This window comes from Homo sapiens, chromosome 14 (genome assembly GCF_000001405.40).
Source record: "Homo sapiens chromosome 14, GRCh38.p14 Primary Assembly".
In the NCBI taxonomy this organism is placed as follows: Eukaryota; Metazoa; Chordata; class Mammalia; order Primates; family Hominidae; genus Homo; species Homo sapiens.
Genome location: NC_000014.9, coordinates 61995851 through 62008755, shown reverse-complemented (window position 1 = coordinate 62008755; position 12905 = coordinate 61995851). Strand labels below are relative to the sequence as shown.

The window sequence follows — 12905 nt, the reverse complement described above, 5'->3', positions numbered from 1 at the left end:
AAGGAAAAAAGTTGCAAAATACTATGTTTAGCATTATATCACTTGTATAAAGTTTTAAAACATGCAAAATTATGTTATATGTAGTTTACAGTTACATATGCTTGCAGCAAAAAAAAAAAAAAAAGAAAACAGAAACACAATGGGAATCATAATTTCCAAATTTAGATTTGTTTTACCCCAGTGAGTAGAGAAAAGAAAGAAAACAAAAAGGGCTTCTTAGGGGATTTCAATTCCCTCTGTCCTGGATGGCTTCTTTAAAATAAATCTGAATTAAATATGACAAAATGTTAAGATCTGGCAAAGTGGCAATCTGTGACTCTTTGTTATATTACTCTATATTTTTCTGTTTTAAAAATGTTTCATAAACTTACAAACTAGGAAATGTAAAGAGCACTAAGAACTCCATTAGCAATGACCTAGACCAGCCCTTAGCATAATTAACATGAGTTCAAAGGGAAGAGGAACTTATAATCACATTTTAGAAACTCCTCCCACTGTAAGGCTCCTTTTCAGAAACAAGACTCGCTCTCCTCAGGGGCAGATATGGGAAGAGGGTACCAGCGAAGAAAGAAAGGAGATTTACCGAAGAAAAAAGAATGGAAGAGGGAAGAAGAGGATAATATCTCCATATTTTTATAAATAAATAAATAAACAACACACAAACACACAGGTAAGAATATTCCTCAGGAAGAAGAAATAAGATACATGAAAAAAGACCTTATTGATTTTGTAGTTCCTGTCTAGCTCTGGCTTCTTCCCCTTTTGGCTGGGTAATTGAAAAAAAGATATCCCTCCTCTTACTTTTTATAGGGCAAGGAAAACTTCTGAGCTTTTTTAAAAAAAAATTATCAAGTGATTCCACTAATAAAGAAAATTTTTTTTATTCCTTGAGAATTGTTAAAATGGGATTTAAGCTTATCTGGAGGATAACTTGCCTCTAATTCCTCTAATCCATTCCTAATTATGTTAAGAATAGAAAAAAAAAGGACTTAATTTTCTTATTTTGAATCTGTCCTTCAAAATGTTCCAGTATTCTATCATAACAACATCCAGAAGTCAAAGTAAGGATTGAATTGTCTGATCATTTGTATCTTACATATTCTAACTTCTGTCCACATAGGATTTTGTTATATGCCTGAAATTTCCTCCAAAAATGACACAAAACTGCAAAATACGTAACAATGGGAATAATCATCTTCTCAACTTAAACGTTAAGGCTTTGAAAACTGTATGTCAGCTGCTAACATGTTCATTAATATCTACCCTTGCTAAAACATGCAAATCAAAATATCAAGAAAATTAACTGTATAAAGCTTTTAGAAAACAGATTCTGAATCAGCCACAGAATATTAAACCTTTTTCCCTGGACACTTCTGCATAACCAAGGAACATGATGGCAAATACTATCAAATGAAGGACTAACAAATGAAGATAAATTTAACTAGGTGTAGGCTTACTTTCAAGAAAGCACTTATGCAATGGAAAAGCAAAGTTCCAGTATTGCAAAGGAAGGAAAGGTGGAATGCAACATTTGACATGCAGTAGTATATCCTGTAGAAAAGATAAGGCCTCTGTGATTTGTGGATCAGCTATATTATCTGATACCATTTAGTCTCAATTGCCACAAGCAATCCCAATAATACTGACAGAAGAAAATACCTTCAATCTGCAAAGGGTTGAAATCAATCAACAACTAAGAACACTGTAGGATTTTCCCTTCCATGTTACATTAGCATAGCAGAGTAATCTGGTTGAAAAGTCAAATATCACCATGATTTCAAAGCCTGTTGTTCTATATTTTAAGTACGTTCCGAGATTGTTTCTAAAGTTCTATATGCCAATGTGCTTGGAACACATTAATTCCATTAGCAGGCTATTTCAGGAAATAGTGAGCATATTTCTTGGAAACAAATATATGTGGTTAAAAAACAGCTTCAAAAAAAGCATGAGGTAAAAAACTGAAAACAATGATTTTTAAATGCAATTAGAACTCCTTCCCATCACATATCAAAGGTGTCATAGCTGCTTCTCTACTGAGAAGGTGGTGTTTTGGATTTGAGTCTTTAAACCAAAAAGCCTATCTTGGGATGACACTATAAGTAGTCTCTCTGCCTCTTAATCATCGGCAACTGCTAAATGAAGTGTATCTATTTTCTCTGTTACATTACTATTGGCAACCAGGTCCTTAGTAAGTGCCCAGAAATGTTTCCATGGTTACAAAAAGCGTTCAGCATCCCTCTTGTTTTGGGCCAATTTAGCTTAAAATCTATTGTGGAGAAAAATATGGCACATTAAGAAACATAAAATCAAGATACAACATTATGAAAAGAATTCAAGGTTAAATGGGAAAAGCGAGCTTGACAAGGCTTTTTAAGACGTGCACATAAATCACCGATTAAAATGCTGCTTTTCCCTAGCGTATTTCCTAATACTGCTCTTCAACAGACTGCAAAGCAGCCCATGTACTATGGCTTACATCACCCCATAGTATAAAGGAACAAATGAGTGCATGAGGAGTCTTCCAGACTGTTAACCCATCAGTAAAATCAAAAACAAAAACAAAACAAAACAAAAAACAGCTGTTTTAACACCCATACAGCTGAGAGTCCAATCACATATCCTAGTTTTATAGGGCCCTCAGGGTATTTAAATATTTTGAAGAAAGAGAAATAAGAGCTTTTGTTCAATGGCTAAAAGGCATTTGAAGTAAATTAGTGGGCTCTATCACATCAGTGAGAGAGAGAAATGGAAGTTCCCTAGAGGCAACTTAGGCAACCTCCTCCATCTATAAAGCTGTGAGTGAATTGGGCTGAGGCTGCCTCATTCTAAGCCCATGGTGCATTCCCAATTCCCACTGCCACCACAGAGCCAGGGCATTAAAAACATTTTTGCATCCTCTGGAACAAATAAACAAGTGATATAGGCTTCTGCACAGTCTGAAGGAGAGGCCTGTGGCTTATACTTGTGTATACTTGTCTGTTCCCCACAATGTTTTGTACGTGGTAGGTGTTCAATACATATTTGATTGGTTAAAAGGGGCCATAGTATAACACCTCTCTTTATAGAGAAATGTTCCTCCTCATATCTACTTACACACCCACACCACTCTTTATCATTTTCTACTGCTCTTATTTTGCCTGTGAAATGGAAAGAAGTGGGTGGAATTCAAAGTCATAATGCTGTTTAAGGACTAATGTGAAAACTTCCAGGAAGCTAAAGGGAGCATACTTTTCCCTCTTCTTCCCTCTAAGTACCACCCTAAACCCTAGACATTGTCTATAAAACAGAGATCAGAAGACTGAGAAGTACAGAGAAGAAGGCAGAATGGATAGGAACCTTGGGACTCAAGGAACAACACAGTCGTGAGTTCCCTGGGCTCTTTTACCTCATATATCCCAGACCTGAAGCTGAAGAAGCTGGCAACACAAAAATGTCAATGTACACCGACCAAAACAAAAGTCTCAATAAAGGCTTGCTCTTTCTTCCCAAAGGACTAGGAAAAGGGCAGCCTAGTAAGCCAGAAAATGTTTAGATAGGACCTGCTCTACTCCAGCCAAACAGCACAGAAAAAAATTGTGTCCTCATCTTCACCCATGACAAGGCCACATAGGGAACCTAGACTTCCATCCTCACCAATCTGTAATGAGGCAACCCAATACTCTCACAAGGCATGCCAGACAAGGCCAAGCTAGGAACTGGAACTTCTATCCCTGATGCCAGAGGTGAGTATCCCCCACCCACACAGTGTTCACTGGAGACCATCTGGGAAGCCTCATCTACCACCCCTGCCTGGAAGTCATGAGGCACACCTCCCCCTCCCCATTTAGGTGATGTCAAGGGAGGTCTAGTAGAGACCCAAGACTTTCACCACAACCCAGTGGTAATGAGGCCACCCACACCGCAGGGTCAGTGGAAACCACATGAGGAGATGGAACTCCCATCTTAACTCAGCATTAATGAAGAGCACCTCTTCAAGGGTCAAAGATGCCAAGAGGGGAACCTCGTCTTCTGCCTCCACAGTAATGAGGTGGTATCCCATTGCATGCCAGAACCATGTCACAGACTCTTCATGGCACGTCTTTTTGGTGGAACAATGACAAAATAATGACAATTATTTCTCTTTATATGTTCATATTCTCTTAGGTTCCTTCTTACAAGCTACTATAATAGTTCTCCAATATTCTCCCCTCCAATTTAGCCTCCAAACTGATGCTAAAGTTATCCTTCTATATCAGAGTTCTGTGGGTGCTACCCTTGATTAAGATCTTTCTAAGATTCCCAACTGTTTACAGGATTATACGGTTTCCCTCTGTGTCCCCACTCAAACCTCATCTTGAATTGTAATCCCCATGTGTGGAGGGAGGGACAAGGTGGGAGGTGATTGGATCATGCAGGCAGTTTCCCCCATGCTGTTCTCATGATAATGAGGGAGTACTCATGAGATCTGAGGGTTTAAAAGTGACGCTTCCCTTTTGCTCACTCTCGCTTGTGCGCTCTCTCTCTCTGTCTCTCTGTCTCTCCTGTTGCCATGTAAGATGTGCCTTGCTTCTCCTTCACCTTCTGCCATAATTGTAAGTTTCTTCAGGCCTCCCCAGCCATGCAGAACTATGAATCAATTAAAGCTTTTTTCTTTATAAATTACCCAGTCTCCGGTATGTCTTTATAGCAGTGTGAAAATGGACTAATACACAGGATGAAGGCTAAATTCTTAACACAAAAACCAAAGACCTTCCCAATCACAGCCTTAGCTCTAGCCTCATGATCCATCCCTGAAAATGTCAGGCTTGTTCACATGTCAGCATTCACGACATTTCCTCCAGGTGGAATGCCTTTCTCCTTTCATTCACTTATTAAATTCTGACTCATCCTGACAAGAACTTTATCTGATCACCTCTGGCAAAATCATCACAAAAGTTATCACGTACATAACTATAACTTCTCACAAACTTTTTTTATAGGATTGGTTACATATATCTTACACATCACAGAACTCTTTAATGGAAGACCAATATGTTCTTTACACAATTATCCCTCAGCCCAAACATGCTACCCAGTTTAATAAGAATGTCCAATTCAATTTCACAGTGTAGTGTTAAGCATATAAACTCTATGTTCCAGCTTCCACTTAAGATGTAGACAGTTGGAAATAATGCTCCCACTCTTTAAACAACAACAAAATTTATATAAGTGGTCAAATCACATATTTTCTTAAACTCAGCAACCAACTAGTCCAAAAGTTAAAAAGAGGCAACTTATCTCAAGGAGAGAAAGAACACAAGCACTTGCTGGCAAGGGGCAGATACTAGATTCATACAAGCTGGTAAGAATTAAATGAATATTTTCCAGTTATTTGTAAAGGCCCAGTGGACTAGCACAGAAGTACAGAACCCATGGGAGTCACAAACCAAATGGAAATTCAAGCCCACTTAGAAGTTCTTCACAGAGCTCACCAGGCACTCACAAGAAAGACGGGTGGAGAGCAGGGGCAGAGAAAGCTGCTGTCGTGATACAGTCATGAGGAAGGGGAACAATGGCTACTACAGGCAAAATAAGAAGCCCCACCAAGATTCTGCTCTTGAATTTCCACTATGAAACAAAAGCCTTAGGCCACTTGGGGAAGGGTAGCTGATAAGTTTTGGCTGTGTCCCCACCCAAATCTCATCTTGAATTGCAGTTCCCATAATCCCCACATGTGGTGGGAGGGACCCAAAGGGAGGTAACTGAATCATGGGGGTGGTTTCCCCCATGCTATTCTCATAATAATGTGTAAGTTCTCATGAGCTCTGATGGTTTTACAAGGGACTTCCCCCTTTACTCAGCTCTCATTCTTCTTGCTGCTGTCATGTGAAGGATACATTTGCTTCCCCTTCCACCATGACTTTAAGTTTCCTGAGGCCTCTCCAGCCCTGTGGAACTATGAGTCAATTAAACCTCTTTTCTTTTTAAATTACCCAGTCTCAGGCAGCTCTTGATAGCATCATGAGAATGCACTAATACAACAGCAAATCCTGTTGCTTTCAGACCACAGGTAAAGACACGTTAAGGTGAGTAAGCAGAACAGAGTAAACACTTCTATCCCTGGGGAAGGGGCAGGAAAAACTCCTGGGGTCAGACCACTGCAGATTCCCCTGTCTCCGGGGAGAGAGGCAGGATTACTGAGAACGTCCTAACCTCAAGACATAGGAACACAGCAATTGCCTAAGACCGAGAGCACTCTACAACAGCAGGAAACACAACCTCCAACTCAACCACATCACACTAGCAAACAATAAGTAATGCATAATAACAGGCTTTTCCTGGGAAGGGGCAAAAGCCTGAAAGGAGAGACACTCTCTGATGCATAGGCAAAAAGAGGAGACGATGTTAAAGATGGAGCCAATATTGACAAAACTGTGTAACAAACAAGCCCCTACCCTAAACACAATGTAGTAATAGAGCATTTTGAAGCCTGTATTGCACTGAGATGAACGATAACAACAAAACAAAAACCCAACTCAAATGCTGACTAAACTGACTCAACCCCCTCACACTAAACATCCTGCATTAGAAAAGATTTGCTCACTTCCAGGCAAAAAATATCGCATACTTTCCCTACATATAATGTTCTATTTTCAGTCATAAATTACAAGACAAACAAAAAAGAAACAAAGAAAAACATCCTGTCTAGAGACAAAACAACCAAGACAGCCAAACTCAAATATGACTCAGATATTGGAACTATCAGACAAGGAATTTTAAAATAACTGTGATTAATATGTTAAAAGCCATAATGAAAAGGGGGGAATGTACATGAAGTGATGAGCAGAGGGACTGAAACTATTTTAAAATGCAATCAAATCAAAATGCTAGACACGAAAAACACGGTAACAAAAATAAAAAAGGCTTTCGTAGACTTGATGCTGTCAAAGAAAATATTAGTAAACTTGAAGATATGTTAGTAGGTACTACCCAAGCTGAACTACGAAGAAGAAAAAAAAGTGATGAAACAAAGAAAAATATCTGAGAGCTGTGGGATAATACCAATCTAATATTTGTACAACTGAATACCAGAAGGAGGAACAAGAGAGAATGGGGTAGAATAAATATTTGAAGACATGATCACCAAAACTTTTTCAAAAGTAATGAAAGCATTAAACCCACAGACCTAATAAGCTTAGAAAACACAAGAAAAACAAATACCAAAACATACACATGCATGCATGTCCATGCACAAACACTCCTAGACACACTCTACTGAAGTCCAAAGATAAAGACAAAATCTTCAAAGCTCCAAGTGAAAGAAACACATATTACATGCAGAAAAATAAATGAAAGTATTATAGCAAGCCATAAGATAGTGAAATGGCAATCTTAAAGTGCTGAAAGAAAATGACTGTCAACCAACATTCTATACCTAGCTAAAATATTTTTCAAATAATTGAGAAAATTTTTCAAGCAAAAGCTGACATAATTCTTTAGCAGCATATATACAGTATAAGAAATGTTAAAATGAAGAATGCTTCAAATTGAATAAATGAAGGTAATAAATAAAAATAATTAAAATATTTTTAAACATAAATGTCACGCATTTTTCAAAGAAAAGTTGAGATAATTCATAAGTGGTATATGTTCATGTGGCATAAATGAGGTAAATATAATCTTTTTATCTTTTTAAATTTTTGGTTTTGAGGAGGGGTTTTTAAAAATTATTTTTAGAGATGGGGTCTCAATCTGTCACCTAGGCTGGAGTGCAGTGGCACAATCACAGTTCACTGCAGCCTTAAACTCCTGGGCTCAAGCATTCCTCCCACCTCAGCCTTTTTTTGTCTTATTTTAACCATTCTAAGAGATAACCAATAGTCTAGGGCAAAGCAGTATCAGCGTATTATACGTTTATTGCATGTATAAGACTAAAATATATGACATCAATAAAACAAAGGATAAGCAGGAAGAATTGAGTATACTGTTGCAACATCATCAAACTATACATGAAATAGTACAGTATTATTTCAAGATAGACTGAAGTTAATTAAAGATCCATGCATTAGGGATCCTAGGATGACCATTAAGCCTTTTTTTAACATGAGCCCAGAGTGGATATATAATGAAATCATAAAAATACTCAGTACAAAGAAAGCAGAAAAATTAGGATAAAAGAAACAAAGAACAGATGGAACAAACAAATCAATCTAGCAAGAAGACAGATTTTAATTCAGCAATATCAACAATTATATTAAATACAAACAGTTAAAACAAATTAAAAGTGGAAGCTTGTCATATTGGATTAAAAAGTAAGACCCAATTATATGCTATGTACTAGAAACCTACCACATAAAATAGGTTTAAAGAATGGAAAAGAATATATCATGTCAACACTAATCAAAAGAAAGTTGGAGCAGCTGTATTAATATCAAAGTAGAATTTAGGACAAGAAATATTACTAGAGGTAAAAATGGTACATTACATAATGACAAAGAGGTCAATTCACCAAGAAGATACATATTTCTAATACATGTACGTACTTAACAGAGCTTCAAACTACGTAAAGCAAAAACTGACAGAAATAAAAAAGAGAAATAGCCAAATCCACAGAGTTACAGACTTCAATGCTCCTCCCTTAGTGATCAACAGAACAAAATCAGTACGCTAAAAAAAAAAAAAAAAAAAAAAAAAAAAATCGAGAGACAAAATAAGTATTAGAAAATCAGAAAAAATAGCCTCAAGAAACTTGTAATTTATAGAATACTCTCTCCAGTAACAGAATATACAATCTTTTCAAGTGCACATGAAATATCCAACAATTCAGGACAGGGTAATAAAACAAACCTTAATTAATTTTTAAAAACTAAAATAACGGAAAGTATGTGCTCAAGCCATAATGGAATAAAACTAGAAATCAACAACAGAAAAATATATAGAATATTCCCAATATTTGGAACTTAATCAACACACTTTTAAATAACCAATTAAGTAAAGAGGAGTAACAAGGGAAATTAGAAAATATTTTTAATTGAATGAAAATAAAAACAAAATACATTCATACTTATTAGATACAGCTAAAGCATTGCTGAGAGGGAAAATTATACATCCATAATAGAAAATAAGAAAGAACAAATTATTCCCAAAGCAAGAAAAACAAAGAAAATAATAATAACAGAAATTAATGAACTCAAGAACAGAAAAACAATAGTGATAAATTAATTAAACCAAAAATGAGATATTTGGAAAAAACACAGATAGGTAGGTGGATAGACAAATAATCCTCTAGCCAGACAGATCAACAACAAAAAAAGACAAAAAGTACCAATATCAGGAAATAAAGGGAGAAATTACTATAAATCCTAACAACATTTAAAAAGTAGTAATTAACTACTATGTCCATAACTTCAACAACATAGATGAAATGAAAAAATTTGAAAAACTCAGTGCCAAAAAATCACTTAAGAAAAAAACAAACTAGGTTACCCTTATACCTATTAAATAAATTGAGTTTATGTTTCAAAACCTTCCCACAAAGAAAATCCCGGGCTCAGAAGGCTTCACTGAAAAATTCTAGCAAACATTAAAAAATAATAATTGTACACAAATTTTTCTAGTTTATAGGAAAGGAAAAACACTTCACAACTCATTTTATGAAGTCAACATTACCCAGAACCAAAGATATTGCAAGAAAACTACAGACCAATATCCCTAAAAAAAAAATGGAAAAAAATCTTTAGCAAAGACTAACAAATCAAATCCAGTAATACATTAAAAGAATACCATAACATGACCAAGTGGATTTTATCCAAGCTATGCAAAATTGGCTCAACTTTCAAAACAGTGTTATTTATTTCAACATACTAAACAACAAAAATCATATGATCATCTCAATAGATGTGAAACAGCATTTGACAGAATTTAACATCCTTTTTTTGATAAAACTCTCAGGAAGCTAGAATACAAGGGAACTTCACCATAATAAAGAGCATCTACAGAAGCCTGCACCTAACTACTGAGGATAATAGAGAAAGACTGAAAGATTTAACACTGTTTAAGATTGAGGCAAGGATATTCACTCTCACCAGTCTTATTTAACATGATAATAGAAGCCCTATCCAGTGTAATCAGTCAAGAAAAAGAAATAATAGACATTGATATTGGAAATAAATAAATAAAACTAGAGACAACAGAAATATTCCTCAACTGATCAATCAACAAACTGGTGCATTCATTCAATGGAATATGATTCAGCAATTAAAAAGGGAAAACTACTGAAACACACAACACCATGGATGAATCTCAAACGCGTTATGGTAGGTGAAAGAAGCTGGACTCAAAAGACGACAAACTGTGTACATCCATTTATATGACATTCTGAAAAAGATAAAACAAGAGAGGCTAAAAATGTATCCACACAGGTCTGGGGCTGGAATAGGGAAAGGACTGACTAAAAAGGAATGTAGGAGAATTTTCTGACATAACAAAACCATTTTATACTTTGGTTGTGGTGGCTACAAGACTGTGTCTATTTGTCAAAAAGCATAGAACTATACACTAAGGATGAATTTTATTATAGTAAATTATACCTTTAAGAGGAAAAAAAAGAATATGTGTATGTGTAAATGTTAGTATGAGACTGCCTGAGCTCTGCTTCTTCCTATAATAAATGTGGATATTGGGTAGGTTCTCAAACTCTCTCACCATCAATTTTCTCAACTGTAAAGTGAGAGTAATAACAGCATCTACCTCTTAACATTGTTAGCTTTCCTTGTTGCTGTTCCATCGTTAATTATTATTTGATCTCCTACCCAACACTGTGCTCATTGTTAAGAAAACAGAGATGAATCTATGGCATGGTCCCTGACTTCCTGGAGGCTCCAATCTAGTGAATAAGCATCTCTGGAAAGGCCAGATGAACACAATTGTTTTACTGCCATTAGATTTTACAATTACAAAAATTAGCAAAATTAGTGGTATGCCAAATTCATATCAATTTCAAATATAGTTCAACCTTTTCAAGAATGTTCTAAAATAGGAATCGAAATTTCAACTCAAATCTAAGAAATTCTACTGCTGGCCCAGATATTTCTAGAATATTTCTATAGCCAATTTAAAAGACTCAAAATTGCAATTAGCTACAGCTTATCAGGTTCAGAAAGAATATCAGCCTACCTCATTTTCACCAATTTATTCTAGCATTTCAATGTTACCTTAATTTGAATAAAAGTATCAAGAGAGCATTATGAGAAGAATATGAAATTGTGTTTCTTTATATGCCAAGACTTCATATATCTGGATAAAACTTTTCCCTAAAAAGACAAAGCTAATAGGAATCATGGAAAATGAATGAAGGGACTATGAGGTATTCCAGAAAAGTCTGCTCTCTCCAGCAAGAGGGACATTGAATAACTTTGTCTTTAGATCACATAAATGACTCACCAATCTGTGTGACTTATATGTGCATTACAACTACACACCATGCACACATACCCAAATCCCTTCTGTGTATATCATTTACCTCTGTCCCTTAACCAGGTGGAATGTCCTTACTTCAAGGTTAGAGTATTAGAGGCATGAGAAATTCATGCTGGAACACACCTCAGCTACTTTTAGAGAGTTAATTACATTTTTATCATATTCAATATACATTTATTGAAGGCCCAATATGTGCTCAGTTCTCACAGCATAAATCTTTATAGGCAGTTTTTATTAAATGTGTCCTTACCATTCAGAGCTAAAAGAAAATCAAGCTATTCTTATTTCAGAGATTTCCTATCCACTGTCATCTCACATCACGTCTCAGTGAAACACTGTGAGAAGTGTTCTTGGAGTGTTATCAACTAAAAATTCTGCGATAAGTACGGCTTTTTGCACAGGATTTCACACTGAATAATATAGTAACATCTAGAAATTCCTAACCTAGAAGAAAAAAAGAACATTTTGCAAGATATTTTTAAAAGCATGACATGTGCACAAGGGGCTTCTCAAACAGAATCCACAGACTCGTTTTTCACCATTTCACTTGCTCAGAACTATTGTTTTGAAATATGGAACTCCCAAACGTGGATCCTCCAAAGCTTTATATATTGAAAATATTCCTAAGGATTATATCTCTCAATCAGAAGCCAGTATGTGGGAAGGTATAAGAGAGAGAAAAATAAAATCCACATGATAACTAAAAACAAGTCAAAATAAAATAAGTAGAAATGCTCTTTGGAGGAACGCAGAGAAAATGATGACTGGCTAGCTTACCTTGCTTTTTTCCATTAACAGTTTCTAAAGTACCAGGGAGCTGGCTGTCAAAGCCATGTTGAAGGCCACTTCTTTGCTTTTCAAGGTGATGCTCTTCCTCCGCAATAGAAGAAAGCACATGTGGTAACTTGCGGTCATCACTGGCCCAATTGGGCCACTGGGACATTGTGGAACATGAGTCCTTTGCATGTTGGCTAAGGCTTGGGCTTGAATTTTGGGCAGAGTCCTGCAAATCACTATTACAACATGAGAAATGATCCACTTCAAGAAACAAGGAATTTGCATCCTCTTGACTCCAATCATTGTCTTGTTCTTCATCTTCAAAGTACGTTTCCTGAATCTGAATATTATCTAAGTCCTGATCTAGTTTGTCACTCAATTTAGAGTCTTGTTTGCTTATGTTAACCAGCGAAGCAGATAACATATCTCCTGCTTGCTGGAGAGCTTCATAAACCCGAGATATCCAGGAAGAGAAAGGCTGGAAGAAGTTCTGAACATCCTGAGACGCCATGGCCAACACCATGGCCAGCTATCTGATGTCTACAGTGTCCAGTTGTTCAGTTCCTTCAGTGCTCTGGATTGAATGTGAACTATAGAATAAGCATGTTGAGAAATTAATTTGGAGGTCTCTTAATGGCTGTGAATATTTCACTCTCAAAACTTCCAGCTGAAACAGAGGAAAGAAATACTTA

General features: G+C 36.1%; 1 protein-coding gene across 17 annotated transcripts in view; it reads right to left on the bottom strand.

Annotated features, from left to right (window-relative positions):
- Positions 1-12905, bottom strand: part of SYT16 (synaptotagmin 16) — a 300664-nt gene that overhangs the window by 104070 nt on the left and 183689 nt on the right. For 7 of the 17 annotated variants that reach the window (NM_001367661.1, NM_001367656.1, NM_001387088.1 and 4 more), the window contains one exon: positions 12214-12880. The exons of 9 other annotated variants lie outside the window; for them this stretch is intronic. In NM_001367661.1, the coding sequence (NP_001354590.1) occupies positions 12214-12736 (523 nt within the window). In that variant the 5' untranslated portion in view covers positions 12737-12880. Of the gene's footprint in view, positions 1-12213; positions 12881-12905 lie in introns of those variants that run through there. One more of the 17 variants, NM_001387087.1, reaches the window with a different exon arrangement.